The sequence below is a fragment of the Homo sapiens genome, chromosome X (genome assembly GCF_000001405.40).
Source record: "Homo sapiens chromosome X, GRCh38.p14 Primary Assembly".
Lineage (NCBI taxonomy): Eukaryota > Metazoa > Chordata > Mammalia > Primates > Hominidae > Homo > Homo sapiens.
The window spans coordinates 19,997,542-20,011,294 of record NC_000023.11 but is presented as its reverse complement, the minus strand read 5'-3'; the positions used below and the strand labels follow the sequence as shown (position 1 = coordinate 20,011,294).

General features: G+C 44.7%; 1 protein-coding gene across 18 annotated transcripts in view; it reads left to right on the top strand.

Moving 5' to 3' along the window:
* MAP7D2 (MAP7 domain containing 2) overlaps positions 1 to 4,582 on the top strand; it is a 110,195-nt gene extending 105,613 nt beyond the window's left edge. For all 18 annotated transcript variants that reach the window (NM_001168466.2, XM_005274480.4, NM_152780.4 and 15 more), the window contains 2 exons: positions 243 to 518; positions 2,897 to 4,582. In NM_001168466.2, the coding sequence (NP_001161938.1) occupies positions 243 to 492 (250 nt within the window). In that variant the 3' untranslated portion in view covers positions 493 to 518; positions 2,897 to 4,582. The remainder of the gene's footprint in view (positions 1 to 242; positions 519 to 2,896) is intronic.

The following is a 13,753-nucleotide window of genomic DNA, read 5'->3' as shown; positions in this document are numbered from 1 at the left end:
CATCACAGCCCTGCTCAATCTGCTTCCCTGTTCTCATACATGGGGCCTCGTGTCCACCATCTGTCCTCCTCAGATTTGAGCCCACTTGTATTTTTTACAGTGTGTTACACAAAAACTCTGACTCTAAATCCTTCTTCTTTAGAAGAGTAGTAAAACAAAATATTGCAAATAGAATTAATATATTGTGCCATGTTGTCTGTCTGTCTCTTTCTGCCTCTCTCCCTCTCGTTCATCTCTTCTAGTCCTGTTTCAAAAGAAGAGCTTATCTCTATCCCGGAATTTTCACCAGTGAGTGAAATGATTCCTGGGGTGTCTCTGGACCAAAATGGAACTGGTAATGCCCGAGCACTTCAAGATCTCTTAGATTTCACTGGTCCCCCGACATTCCCCAAGAGATCCAGTGAAAATCTCAGCCTGGACGACTGTAACAAAAACCTTATCGAAGGATTTAACAGTCCTGGCCAAGAAACTCCTCTCAACACCTTCTGTTGACAAATACAGCATCCCTTTAATAAAAGGTACAGTCTTTTGATTATATTCTAACTTCATAACCCTTTAACTGGGGTTTGTGAAGATAGGATGTATATCACTCAGCCTCTTGGATGGTCAAATTTTATTTGAAAAACGCAAACATGAATATATTATGGTATACTACAACACACACAAGAATTGAGACAGATTTCAATTAATTCATCTGCGAGCCTTCAGCGCCGAGCCGCCTTGTCCTAACCCTGCTATTTAGGGTGTGTAGATGGGAAAGTTGAGAACACTGGCTAAAGGTTTGACTACCAGTCCAGCCTGAGTAGCTTTTTTAGGGGGCAAGGAAAGAATACTCTAGTAGTGTTGCAAGGTGATATGAATAAGATGAATTTCCCCACCTCTAGTTTTGCTCAGTGACATCCCACATTCTATCTAGAATCATTCATATACAGGGCCACAGGATTTGCTATTCTCTTGACCCATTCTGGATTCTTCCAAAGCAGACAGCTATTCTTGGATCATACCTGAGGGAGAGAGAACTGCAGTTTTTGTGTCTTGAAGGTTTTTTCCCCACCTTTGGCCTTTTTTTATTTTTGCCAAAGTGCTTCCAGAAGCTATTCTCATTTGAGCAAGAATGTCTATGAGTTATATACACTCTGTAGTAAGGTATACTTAGTTACATATACCTCACATTTTATTTACTTCAGTTTGGGGCTTGTTTTTGAATAAGGAAAACATAATTAGAGTCTGTCACCAAATCCTTTAATAATTTAATAATTCCAATTGCTCCTCCCACTTCAGATTCTGTTTTTGTTTTCAAGAGAAGTGATCTCACTCTGTTGTCCAGGCTGGTGTGCAGTGGCGCAATCACAGCTCACTGAGACTTCAAACTCCTGGGCTCAGGAGATCCCCTTGCCTCAGCCTCCTGAGTAGTTGGATCATAGGCACATGCCACCAGGCCCAGCTAATTTTTTTTAGTTTTTGTAGAGGTTGGGTCTTGCTATGTTGCCCGGCTGGTCTTGAACCCCTGGCCTCAAGTGATCCTCTCTCCTTGGCCTCCCAAGTACTTACTGGGATTACAGCCATGAGCTACCATGCCTTGCATCCATTTATCCATTTTAGATTCTTTTTTTTTTTTTTTTTTTTTTTTTGAGATGGAATCTCACTCTGTCACCCAGGCTGGAGTGCAGTGGCATGATCTCCACTCACAGCCACTTCTACCTCCCAGGTTCAAGCCATTCTCCTGCCTCAGCCTCCCGAGTAGCTGGGACTACAGGTGCACGCCGCCATGCCTGGCTAATTTTTTGTATTTTAGTAGAGACAGGGTTTCACTGTGTTGCCCAAGCTGGTCTCGAACTCCTGAGCTCAGGTAATCTGCCTGCCTTGGCTTCCCAAAGTGCTAGGATTACAGGCGTGAGCCACCGCGCCCGGCCATTTTAGATTCTTAAAAGCATTTTTATATTCTCGGCATTTTCTCAGTCACTTTATTTTTTATACTTCACTCCCATAACAAATTCACTGGCCAAAATAACAGTCCAGTGTTTTTATTTTTCAAATGAGGAAACAGGTGGGAGAGGCTACAGAGCTGAGGTCACTGTGTTTTTTGTATACTTGTTTCTACCTGACCTCAGCTCTTGCCTATAAGACAAGTTTGAGAGCCCATTTCTCTTGGTTCTTGGTGTGTGGTGGGTCACTTTTAGAGTAAACTGTATCACTGGTTTGGAAAAGCAGCTGCCTTCTTGGACACTTAAAACACTAAATCACCTGAGCATTCTATTTCCCTGACAGTTACGTGGCTTAATATTTATTAAGAGGTTTTTTGTGTTTTTAACATACTTTGACTTTAAAATTAGTTTCCCTTCAGTTCACTTACCTCACTATACAGTAAGGAACAGAGAATCCACAAAATTTATTAGAGTATTCATAGGTCCTCAAATTTATTTCTTACATCTCTAAAAGAAATGCAAAACCCCTGTCCAAAAAGAAAAATCTCAAATTATTTTATTCACACTGCTTGTATATTTTTAATTATGATTGGGTCTAGTTCTCAAATTCTTCTCTACCAAAAGTGGTACCACCCCCACCAGGAGACGTTTGGACATACGTTGATGGTTTTTGTTGCCAGAGTGGCTGGGGGCATTTGAAAGACAAAGCTTGAGACATTAAATATCTGCAGGTTTTAGAAAAGTTCCATACAAGGAAAATTTGACCCATCTAAAAGAATAGTCCTATGTAAAATACTCTATCACTTCTGTTGAGAAATACTGTATAAGCCCAGGAGGAAAATATAATTGCCAAGAAGGTAGAAAGTGCCACAGTGTGTTGTGATCGTTTTAGTGAGAGAATAGTGCTACAAACTGCACAATACTTGGTTTTCCCTTTGATCTCATCTGGTTTTGTTTCTGAATTGACACAGGTGTTTGGAGAACCCGTAAAGCTGCTGATAGTCAAATCCGAGCTACTAGCTGCTTGAAGAAGCTTCTGTCACCCTTACCGCTGGATCCCAAATTATTAGCTCGGAATGTAACTGTATTCCTAGGTAGTATGTCAAACACTGGCCACTCTTGGTAGAAACCTTGAAACTTTCACCTTGCTGGGCTTTAGCAAAGTTTCCTTTTACAGTTCTGTTTATGAGCTTCAGCTACTGATAAAGCACTTCCTGAACTTCTCTATTATCATAGTGACCCTCTGAATAACCTGAGTGACTGGCTCGGCAATTCGCTTTATAACCATTCTTATTCCCAAAGTTGGAGCACATAAACATTTAGATGTCTTTTCCTGTAAAATATTCTAGACATTTACCCAAACTCTAGTTCAACATATACTCAACTTGCACTGTATATCTCCCTGTCTTTTTTGAGACAGAGAAGAAATTCAGGAGGTTCCCCATCTCCAGAGTTTCTCTGTTGGAAAGCAGTATCAAGAAGCCTTTAAAAAATTGTTGTTAAGCTTTGCCACCTGCAGAAATGCATTGCCCCACATTATTCTTCTGGGGTTAAAGTAGTAAGTTTGGTTGAGGAAGGAAGTCAAAACAGTCAGTAATGATTTCTGTTCTCTTATGCATATTCGTGTATACATGGGCAACTGAATCTAGCAAGGACTCTTTCGTGTCACACCTTAAAATCTTCATGCTGTAGTCACTCCAGACCATGGAGTGGCTTTCCAGCTGAATGAATCCTATGTCTCGCGTGCAGGTGGTTGGTTTTCAATGTTCTTGCTAATTTTTTTTCTATTGGATCTTGGGAGTTTTCTTTGTTTGCTCCTGTGTTTGCCCAGCTTTAATAAAACCAGGCGCAAACAAAAACCATAGCATTCTGAAACAATAGGGGGCCCACATTGGACCCAGTATGTCACTTTAATGGACTTCAAGAAAAAATCTGAATGGGAAAAATGACACTAGAATGTATACTCCACACATTTTATGCCATATAATGGTGTGTTTTCTTAATTTTGTTTCTTGTGGCGAAATGTGGCTTTCAAATTAAAATGACCTTTTCTTCTTTGAAACTTTTTGTTTTGACTTGTATAATTAAGGGTTTGGAAAGATTCATAATTCTGAGAGAGGTTTGCAACCAGGAGATACAAAGAAGTCTCAGTAGTAATCTTGTTCATGTGCTTTTACAGCCAGCTACATTTAAGAATGTATTAGTTACAGAAATTATATGTCTGTGTATGTGTCTCTACTCAATAAAGTACATGCCTCCACATAATGCGGTGCTGTCCATCTCGGCAAATACTGGCCAAGTCCCTTTATGACAGGCACACAGAAACCATAGCATGGTCTGGCTTTCAGAAAATGCCTCTCATCTTTCCTGGAACCTTATTTTGCTAAATGTCTGTTTTCTTGTGATTTGTTGTACCTCACAGCACCATTGTGACCATGGTGATGCCTCATTTGCATGATATGTACCTTGTGTTTAATGTGAAATACATTTTCATTGAAGAGTCTGATGACTTGCTAGCGTTTTATTTTTTCTGTAAGCTCAATGTGCTGAAACCAAACCAGGCTTTTAAAAACCTGTGTAGAAGAAAACCAAAAAATCCTGTGTGGGTGTCCTTTCCCTGTCAAACTCATTAAAAATTCCTTTGTTGCCAGTGCCAAGTGGAGTCAACTGCATAAAGCTTCTTAAGTGATGACTGTCACTAGAACACAATGGACTTCTGAGTATAGTAAAAAAAAAGTTGCTGTTCTTTCCTTTTTTTTTTTTTTTGGAGAGACAAGGTCTCACCATGTTGCTGAAGCTGGTCTCCTAGGCTCAAGTGATCAATCCTCCTGCCTCAGCCTCCCAAAGTTCTGGAATTATAGGCATGAGCCACGACGCCCAGCCAAGTTCCTGTACTTTCATACCACTGGTGTGAGGGCTTTCTAGCTAAGATACAGTTAACCTTACCATAATCTATGATAACATTGCACATAGCAATTTGGCATTTAAATAAAGTTATAATGGGAATGTTGACCCTTATTTTCAGGTAAGTTGAAACCCAGACCAGTTTTTTTTGTTTGCTTGTTTGTTTTTTAATGTCTAACTCACAGGCTTTCCACTGCCTGGAGACAGTACCAGGCCAGACCAGAAGCCAGGTGGGCAGGACTGGAATTAGAGACCCCTGTGGTAACTTCTGGGCTGCCATCTCTGAAGCTGAGGGCCCGGTCATTGCTGCCTTCCCCAGTTCTGTTGACAAAGCCTCTGGTCAGGGCACAGGAGCAGACACTATTTCCATATGCAGACCTCTGGGAGGGGCATTAGAAGTAGCTTATGTCATCATGAGCTCTGGCCATAGGGCCTACATTGGTGGCCAGTCATTCCTAAGAACAGTTTCTTGTTTGTGAACATCGCAAATTTTTTCTTAGTGTGTACAGGTTTCCTATTAGATGCTTTTGTTAATTTAGAAAGCAAATGTAAAGAACTAATTCATCTCAAGAAGTATACCCATTACAATGGGGCACAGCACAGGGTGACCTCCATACCCATTCCTCAGCATTGTTCAGAAAGCACAATTATGGGCCGGGTGCAGTGGCTCACACCTGTACTACCAGTGCTTTGGGAGGCCGAGGCAGGAGGATCACTTGAGGCCAGGAGTTCGAGACCAGCCTGGGCAACAAAGCAAGACCTCTGTTCTCTACAAAATAAATTTCAAAAACTCAGCTGGGCATGGTGGCACACACCTGTAATCCCAGCTACTTGAGAGTCGAAGGCAGGAGGATCACTTGAGCCTAGGAGCTCAAGGTTGCAGTGAGCTATGATCACACCACTGCACTCCAGCCTGGACAATGGAGCAAGACCCTGTCTCTTTTTAAAAAGCACAATTATGTAAGAAAATGAAGCAAGAACTCTCAGAAACGAGAAGCTTCACAAATGGTCTTTTTTCTGGAAACCCATGAAAATCTCTTAGAATGATTTCACAAGGAGGCCAACTATCAAAGAAAAATTAATAGTTTTTTTGGGGGCGCATAGGGGCACAGGACCAGGCTGGAGCACAGTGGCACGATTATAGCTCACTGCAGCCTTGAACTCCTGGGCTCAAGTGATTCTCCTGCACCAGCCTCCTGAGTAACTAGGAATATAGGCGTGCACCACCATGCCCAGTTAATTTCTTTTAAATTTTTATGTAGAGACGAGGTCTCACTATGTTGCCCAGGCTGGTCTTCAACCAGGCTCAAGCAATCCTCCCACCTTGGCCTCCCGAAGTGCTGAGATTACAGGTGTGCACCACTATGCCTGGCCAGACGAGTCTTTTTCTTACATATCAGCAATAAACTGGAAATAGGTTCCAACAAAAACCATAAATTTCATAGAAATAAAAACCAGCTAAAACGAGAGGAATGTTAGAATTGAAGTGAATGGAAAGACACGCCATGCCCCTGAATGGGAAATCCTATGCATATGAAGAAGGCTCATCCTATAGGCAGCACTCACATTGGTTCCAGTCAATGAGATTTCATTTCAGCAACTTGAAAAGAGAATTGCAGGGACCGGGCGCGGTGGCTCACGCCTGTAATCCCAGCACTTTGGGAGGCCGAGGCAGGTGGATCACGAAGTCAGGAGATCAAGCCCATACTGGCTAACATGGTGAAAACCCGTCTCTACTAAAAATACAAAAAATTAGCTGGGCGTGGTGGCGGGCGCCTGTAGTCCCAGCTACTCAGGCAGCCGAGGCAGGAGAATGGCATGAACCCGGGAGGCGGAGCTGGCAGTGAACCGAGATAGCGCCACTGCCCTCCAGCCGGGGTGACAGAGCGAGACTCCATCTCAAAAATAATAATAGAATTGTACAGTTCATTTTAAAAGCTGAACACAAAGCTAAGAAACCTAGGAATTTTTAAAGAAGAATTTCCCCCAACAAATAGTAAAATACATGATAAAACTTCCATAACTGAAATGGTATTCTGATAGAGAAATAGAATTTGGAATAGCTATAGAGATCAGAAATACCCAAGATCGGTAAGAATTGAATGCATGGTGGGGCTGGGCGTGGGCCATTGTACTTGTAGAGAGGTAGCAGGTATCCTGAGTGTCAACTTTGAGGGTTTTTTGTTTTTTGGGGTTTTTTTTCTGAGTGTCTCACTCTGTCCCTGAGGCTGGGGTGCAGTGGCATGCTCTTAGCTCAATGCAACCTCCTCCACAGGTTCAAGCGATTCTCCTGCTTCAGCCTCCCAGGTAGCTGGGATTACAGGCGCCCACCACCATGCCCGGCTAATTTTTGTATTTTTACTAGAGATGGGGGTTTCACCATGTTGGCCAGGCTGGTCTCGAACCCCTGACCTCAAGTGATCTGCCCGCCTTGGCCTCCCAAAGTGCTGGGATTACAGGCGTGAACCACTGCGCTTGGCTGTCAATTGAGTTTAGAATCTCTGATGTGGTAGGGACAGGGGCCCAGAAGTCACAGTGAGGAAATGATAAAGACAGCAAAGAGATCCAAGGTATCCAAGGTGAGGGTACCACTCATGGATCAATGTTTAAGTCAGGGATGAAATTTAGATGCAAGGCTTGGGAGCATCCTGTAAAGATCCTGAGCTGCCAGGCACCCCCGCGATGTGCCAGGCTCTCAGGAAGTGGGGAGCAGCAGGCCTCTGCTTACCTTGCTTTAGGCTTCTGCGGCAGTGGGCCATGACAGACAGCATGTACTGAGTTGCTTCAAAAATTTCATGCTTTGGCCGGGCGCAGTGGCTCACGCCTGTAATCCCAGCACTTTGGGAGGCCGAGGCGGGCGGATCACGAGGTCAGGAGATCGAGACCATCCCGGCTAACACGGTGAAACCCCGTCTCTACTAAAAATACAAAAAATTAGCCGGGCGCGGTGGCGGGTGCCTGTAGTCCCAGCTACTCGGGAGGCTGAGGCAGGAGAATGGCGTGAACCAGGGAGGCGGAGCTTGCAGTGAGCCGAGATCGGGCCACTGCACTCCAGCCTGGGCGACAGAACGAGACTCCGTCTCAAAAAAAAAAAAAAAAAAAAAAAAAAAAAAAAAAAATTTCATGCTTTGAGGTAGGTATGGGACGGTTACTTCCCCAAGGACACACACAGCTGGAACTTGGCAAAGCTGGCTGTGACTCTAGGGCCCCAGCTTTATTTTTTATATGTATTTAAAGATACGTATTTTTTAATAGAGACACATTCTCCCTATGTTGCCCAGACTAGTCTCGAACTCCTGAGCTCAGGTGATTCTCCCGCCTTGGCCTCCCAAAGTGCTGGGGTTACAGGCACAAACCACTGCGCCCGACTTCCAGGACCCCAGCTTTAGTACCCCCAGGGGAAGTTGACAGGCTTTTCTGCCCCACAGAGCAGCAACACTGTTTTGCTAGGGGGTAAGCAGGGCAAAAAAAAAAAAAAAAAAAAGTCTTGCTAGAGCAAGCACTTATAAAAGGAGTAGCAAAGGACCAGGACCCTCATGGAAACTCCTAGTTCTGAAGGTGCTTTAAAATACATATTGAGGCCGGGCGCGGTGGCTCACGCCTGTAATCCCAGCACTTTGGGAGGCCGAGGCGGGTGGATCATCTGAGGTCAGGAGTTCAAGACCAGCCTGACCAATATGGTGAAAGCCCATCTCTACTAAAAAGACAAAAATTAGCTGGGCGTGGTGGTGGGCGCCTGTAGTCCCAGCTACTCGGGAGGCTAAGACAGGAGAATTGCTTGAACCTGGGAGGTGGAGGTTGCAGTGAGTCAAGATCGTGCCACTGCACTCCAGCACTCCAGGCTGGATGAGACTCCGTCTCAAAATTAGATATAGATTAGATAGATAGATATAGATATATTATTAAATATAGTGACATTATTAAAATTTATCTTAAGTATAGAATACAGTGGTCTTTAGTCACAGAGTTGTGCAACCATCACTACTAATTCTAGAACATTTTTACCGGAGTGCTTTTTCAAGGGTTTGTCATCCATTCATCTACTCAAAGCAGCAAAGCTTGGCTTTATCAGCCATTAGTTCAAGTTCTCATTGTACCTAAAAGCAAGAACATGGGGTTCGAAGATAGCATTCTTCTTTGAAGCAGTCACTTCCCCATCTTACCCCTTCAATAGGACAAACTAGGACAATGTTTATGTCACAATGAGTGTGGGCTGTTTTGTGTTGTTCCACATTCACTTCATAAACATGGGATCAAATGCCAAACACAGGCTCACCTCTCAGATGCCCAGCATGGGCTCCTAGGTTGATGAGAGACATGGATTGGGGGAAGCTGTAATTTAAGACACTTTGAAAATTCTGAACCTTTGGAGGCATGCCTTTAACAATGACCACGGATTCGGGCATGGGGTGACTTACACTGTGACTCTACTTGCCCTTATGTTTCTGGGACCGATCCCCCACGTTAACCACCAGGGAGGGAGTGTTTCAGTGCCCTCTTTTTCCCCTCTAAGGTCCAAGCCAGGGTCCATGGCAATGGGCACTCATGGCACTGTGGAAAGAAATCACCTACTGCCCAGAGCCTGAGGGTCCCCTTGCAAAAGGCAGAGGGAGCTAAAATGCTGCAGGTGTTGCCCGTGGAGAATTCACCCCCTTCCCCTCCCTCCATGCTCTGCAGTAAATCAACAAGAACCTCCTGCCGAGGCTTCTATGCTGCAGTGAAATAATGCAGCCATTCAACTGGCAACAAGGGACTGGGGCCTGGGGAGTGTCGAAAGCTGCCAGCCTTCGGGACTTCCAAGAAATGGTGAAGGCAGGCTTTCCCCATCTCACCTCATCTCAGGAAATGCAAGGAATAGAGTTCCAAGCAATTGAACCTTTGCGGAAAGTAACTTCTTTTTAGAATTAGAGCTAGCAGCAATTTGTTGGCTGTACTTATATTTTAGTTAAATTTTCCTAATAGCGTGTGTAGGGTCATCTTGAAACAACAGGAAAGTCATCCACGCAGAACTAACAACTAGGACAGGGCTGTGCCACACACAGTAGACGTGCGTAAAGCTTGTTGGATTGAATTCAGTCATCACTGTGGGACCTGTAGGTTATTCTAGGACAAACCGAATCTTCCTAGGCCCACTGGGAGGACAGAATAAATTCCATTTGTTCAGTGGACCTGGCCTTCTAAAGGATTCTCAGGGGCCTACTCTGTGGGTCACAGCCCTGGTAGCTGGTACAAGGTTCATAATGGTAAGAAATTATTCAGAATGTGAAAGGCAAAAAGATAACCGTGTACCCTTTCCAAGCCCTGATAGAGCGTTGTCTTCACAAGGCAGCCTCTGGGCCAGCTGGGTCTCGGAAGATGTTAGTTCGAGCGGCTCACCATGTGCTATGGGTTAGGACTCAGCCTCTGGAGTTAGAGGTTATGTCTGTTTGTTCCTGTAAGACACTAAAAAACTTTGTCTCTAACTGTGCCATCTTATTCCAGCATTCTTTTTTTCCTACTAAATACACGTGTGTGTGTATGTTACGTACATACATGTGTGCATAATAGTCCTCATCTCCGCCTTTGACTTGCTTTCTCATCCTGCTCCTTAAAGAGTTCAATACATTTTTTGACACACGCTCGCTGTATATTAACATCAGAATCATGTTTTTAACCTTTGGGAAGTTATACTTTGACAAGTGAGGGTCCTTATATCCTCAGCAGGATTTGGGAAATCTGAAATAGCTATACTAATGGCTTCAAAGGTTCATATTAAATGCTAGTGGAGTGGACGTCATGGTGCGCCACCCAGATGGACCTCCCTTTTAGGGCTGAGGTGTTCGTCCTTCCAGGTGTCTCCTTCCAGATGCTGGAGGTACAGCCCCTGAAGCCTGTCGGTGGACTTCCTGTCTGGGAATTGCCCTTGGCTGAAGGAGGTTGCCTCGCCAAGGTTAAACCTCCTCCTGGGGCAGCCTGTATCTGATGACTGGATCAGTTCAGTGTACAAAGCCCCTTGCCTGGAGGTAGGACAACTCTGAGTTAGCCATCCTAGCTTCAGAGCTCCCTGTGGGGTCACCTGAGGGCTCTGCAGAGACTGCATTGCAGTCTAAGTTCTCCCTCCTGCTTCCTTCACGCCTCCCCACCCCAGCCACTCTGCATACATGCCCCGCATGCCAGTTGGTCTGAGAGTTTCCCAAAGAACCCATCCAGAGCCAGCTGGGCGTTGTGCTAAGGCTTTTCATGTGCTAGCTCTCCTAACCTTCCAGACAACATTCCGAGAGAGGCATGGATGTTACCATGCTCTTTTCACCATGAGGGACCCGAGACTCAGGCTAAGCCACTGGTCCGAGGTCACATGCAACCAGGAAGTACAGAGCTGGGCTTCCAACCCCAAGGTGTGTTTTGGAGCCTGCACTTGGCCTAGTTCACCACAGCCCAAAGTGCCTGCCCAGACAAATCAGACTGACCCAGCCCCTAGAGGCTCTTGCTAGTCTACACACCTTCTAGCTTCATTTTCCCAATCAATCTCCTCAACCAGCTTCCCTCACCAGAAATTGTTGCTGACTTTGAAAATCCTTGAGAATCTTCTGCTGAGGGCGTTTCATCCATCTTTGTATCGCTCACGCAAGCAGAATATGTGCACCTTCCACCTGGGAGCACAGTTGCTATGAGATTTTTTTTCCCTCATCCAGAAGGCAACCCATTTCATAACTGCTCATTTATGAAGCAACTACGAATGAATATCTACTCCATTCTAAGCATTTTGCTAGGGATGGGGATGGAGCAGAGAACAAGACTAGAAAGTGTCCCCATCCTCCTGGAGCTTGTAGTCTAGCAGTGAAGAGAGACAGTAGACAATTTTAAAAGTCATTATTTGCAATTGTGATGGATGTGAAGGTCAAGCCTGCTGTTATACATATTCTTTTTCTTTTATTTCTTTTTTTTTTTTTTTTTTTGAGATGGAGTCGTGCTCTGCTGCCCAGGCTGGAGTGCAGTGGCACAATCTCAGCTCACTGCAGCCTCTGCCCCCGAGGTTCAAGCAATTCTCCAGCCTCAGCCTCCCGAGTAGCTGGGATTACAGGCGTGCGCCACCACATCCAGCTAATTTTTGTATTTTTAGTAGAGACGGGTTTTACCATGTTGGCCAGGCTGGTCTCAAACTCCTGATCTCAGGTGATCCACCTGCCTTGGCCTCCCAAAGTGCTGGGATTACAGGAGTGAGTCACCACGCCCAGCCCACATTTTCATATCATTACAGTTTGTGATGATACATTGATTTGTGAGATTCTTTGATTAAGGTCTATCTCCCTCACTGTAAGTGTCATGACAGCAAGACTGTCATATTCCTATCACCCAACATAGATATTGAGTAAATATTTGTGAGTGAATAAACACAGTTGTTACTGAGAAACTCTTTGAATTAAAATTATGGCCTCTGCCAGGCACAGTGGCTCACACCTGTAACCCCAGGACTTTGGGAAGCCAAGGCAGGTGGATCACTTAAGCCCAGGAGTTCAAGACCAGCCTGGGCAGCATAGTGGGACCTTTTCTCTACAAAAATTAAAATAACAGCCAGGCATGATGGTGCATGCCTATAGTCCCAGATACTTGGGAAGCTAAGGTGGGAGGATAGCTTGAGCCCAAGATACTTGGGAGGCTAAGGCAGGAAGTTAGTTGAAGGCTGCAGTGAGCTGTGATGGTGCCAATGTACTCCAGCCTGGGTAACAGAGGCCTTATCTCTAATATATTCATAAAAATATAATATAATAAAATTGTGGCCTTGGATCTGCATGTGTTTCTGCCAGACCCACAGTCTGATAAAGATAAAGGTCCCAGGGACCCTACTTTTCATATTTGCTATTGAATCCCCAGCACCGAGAACAGCACCTGCCACACAGTGGACACACGATAAATCTTTGTTGAATGAATGATTTCTCTATTGAGAATAAATATACCAGTTTGAATGGTCCCAGTACATATAGCAGAAAGCGATTTCAATATTAAGGGTATTTATCACACCTAATATATAACAAGCTCCAAAGGCAGCTCAATGGCGTCAGGATTCTAAGGCAGCATCTCTTTGAGTGTCTTGGCTCTGAAGAAGGTCGCTGCAGCACCAGCATCCCAACTGCACACCATCATGGTCAAAGGCAAGAAGTCAGTGGCAGGCTGCTCCTTGTTACTGCACCTTCCTTTAGCCAGGGAGGAAACCCTCTCCCAGAAGCCCCCAGCAGCAGATTTCTACTTCTCATTGGCCAGTACTAGGTCTTCCACCTACCCCTCAGCTCATCACCTGCCAAAGGGAGTGAGATTATCCCATGTTATTAGTTGAGGTAATGCTCGCTTCTGTAACAACCACAGCACACCTAAAATGCAGAATGGCTCAAATACAAGTTTTTTTCTTCCTTATGTGAAGTCCCAAACAGATGTGCCTGATTACAACGCTCCTCTGAGTCCTAAGTCAGAGACCAGACTCTCTCCATCTTGTGGCCCCCTCATCTTCCAATTGTATCACGTTTTTCTGCATCAAGCTGACAGAACAGGGAAAGAGTATGGAGAAGACACATGACTTCTTAACCACCTGGGCCCCTAAGGGACATGTACTACTTCCTCTCACATTCCGTTAGTACAACTAGTCATGTGGCCCTACTTAGATGCAAGGGATGCTGGGAAGTATATTCCCTGGCTAGTTTGCTTCTTACCAGAGATATTGCTATTCTATGGAAGAGAGAACACACATAATTTGGTGGATAGTTAGTCGTCTCTGCCATGCCATGATTGACTTAGACCAGAGCTGTTCAGTAGGAGTATCATGTGAGTCACTTGTGTCATTTTTCCATTTTCTAGTAAGGGGCCTGGGGAGGGAAGGGTGGTAAATGTTTTGAATATATTATTGTAAAATCTACCACAGAGTCCATTATGTTCTCTTTCCCTACCAGTCCAAG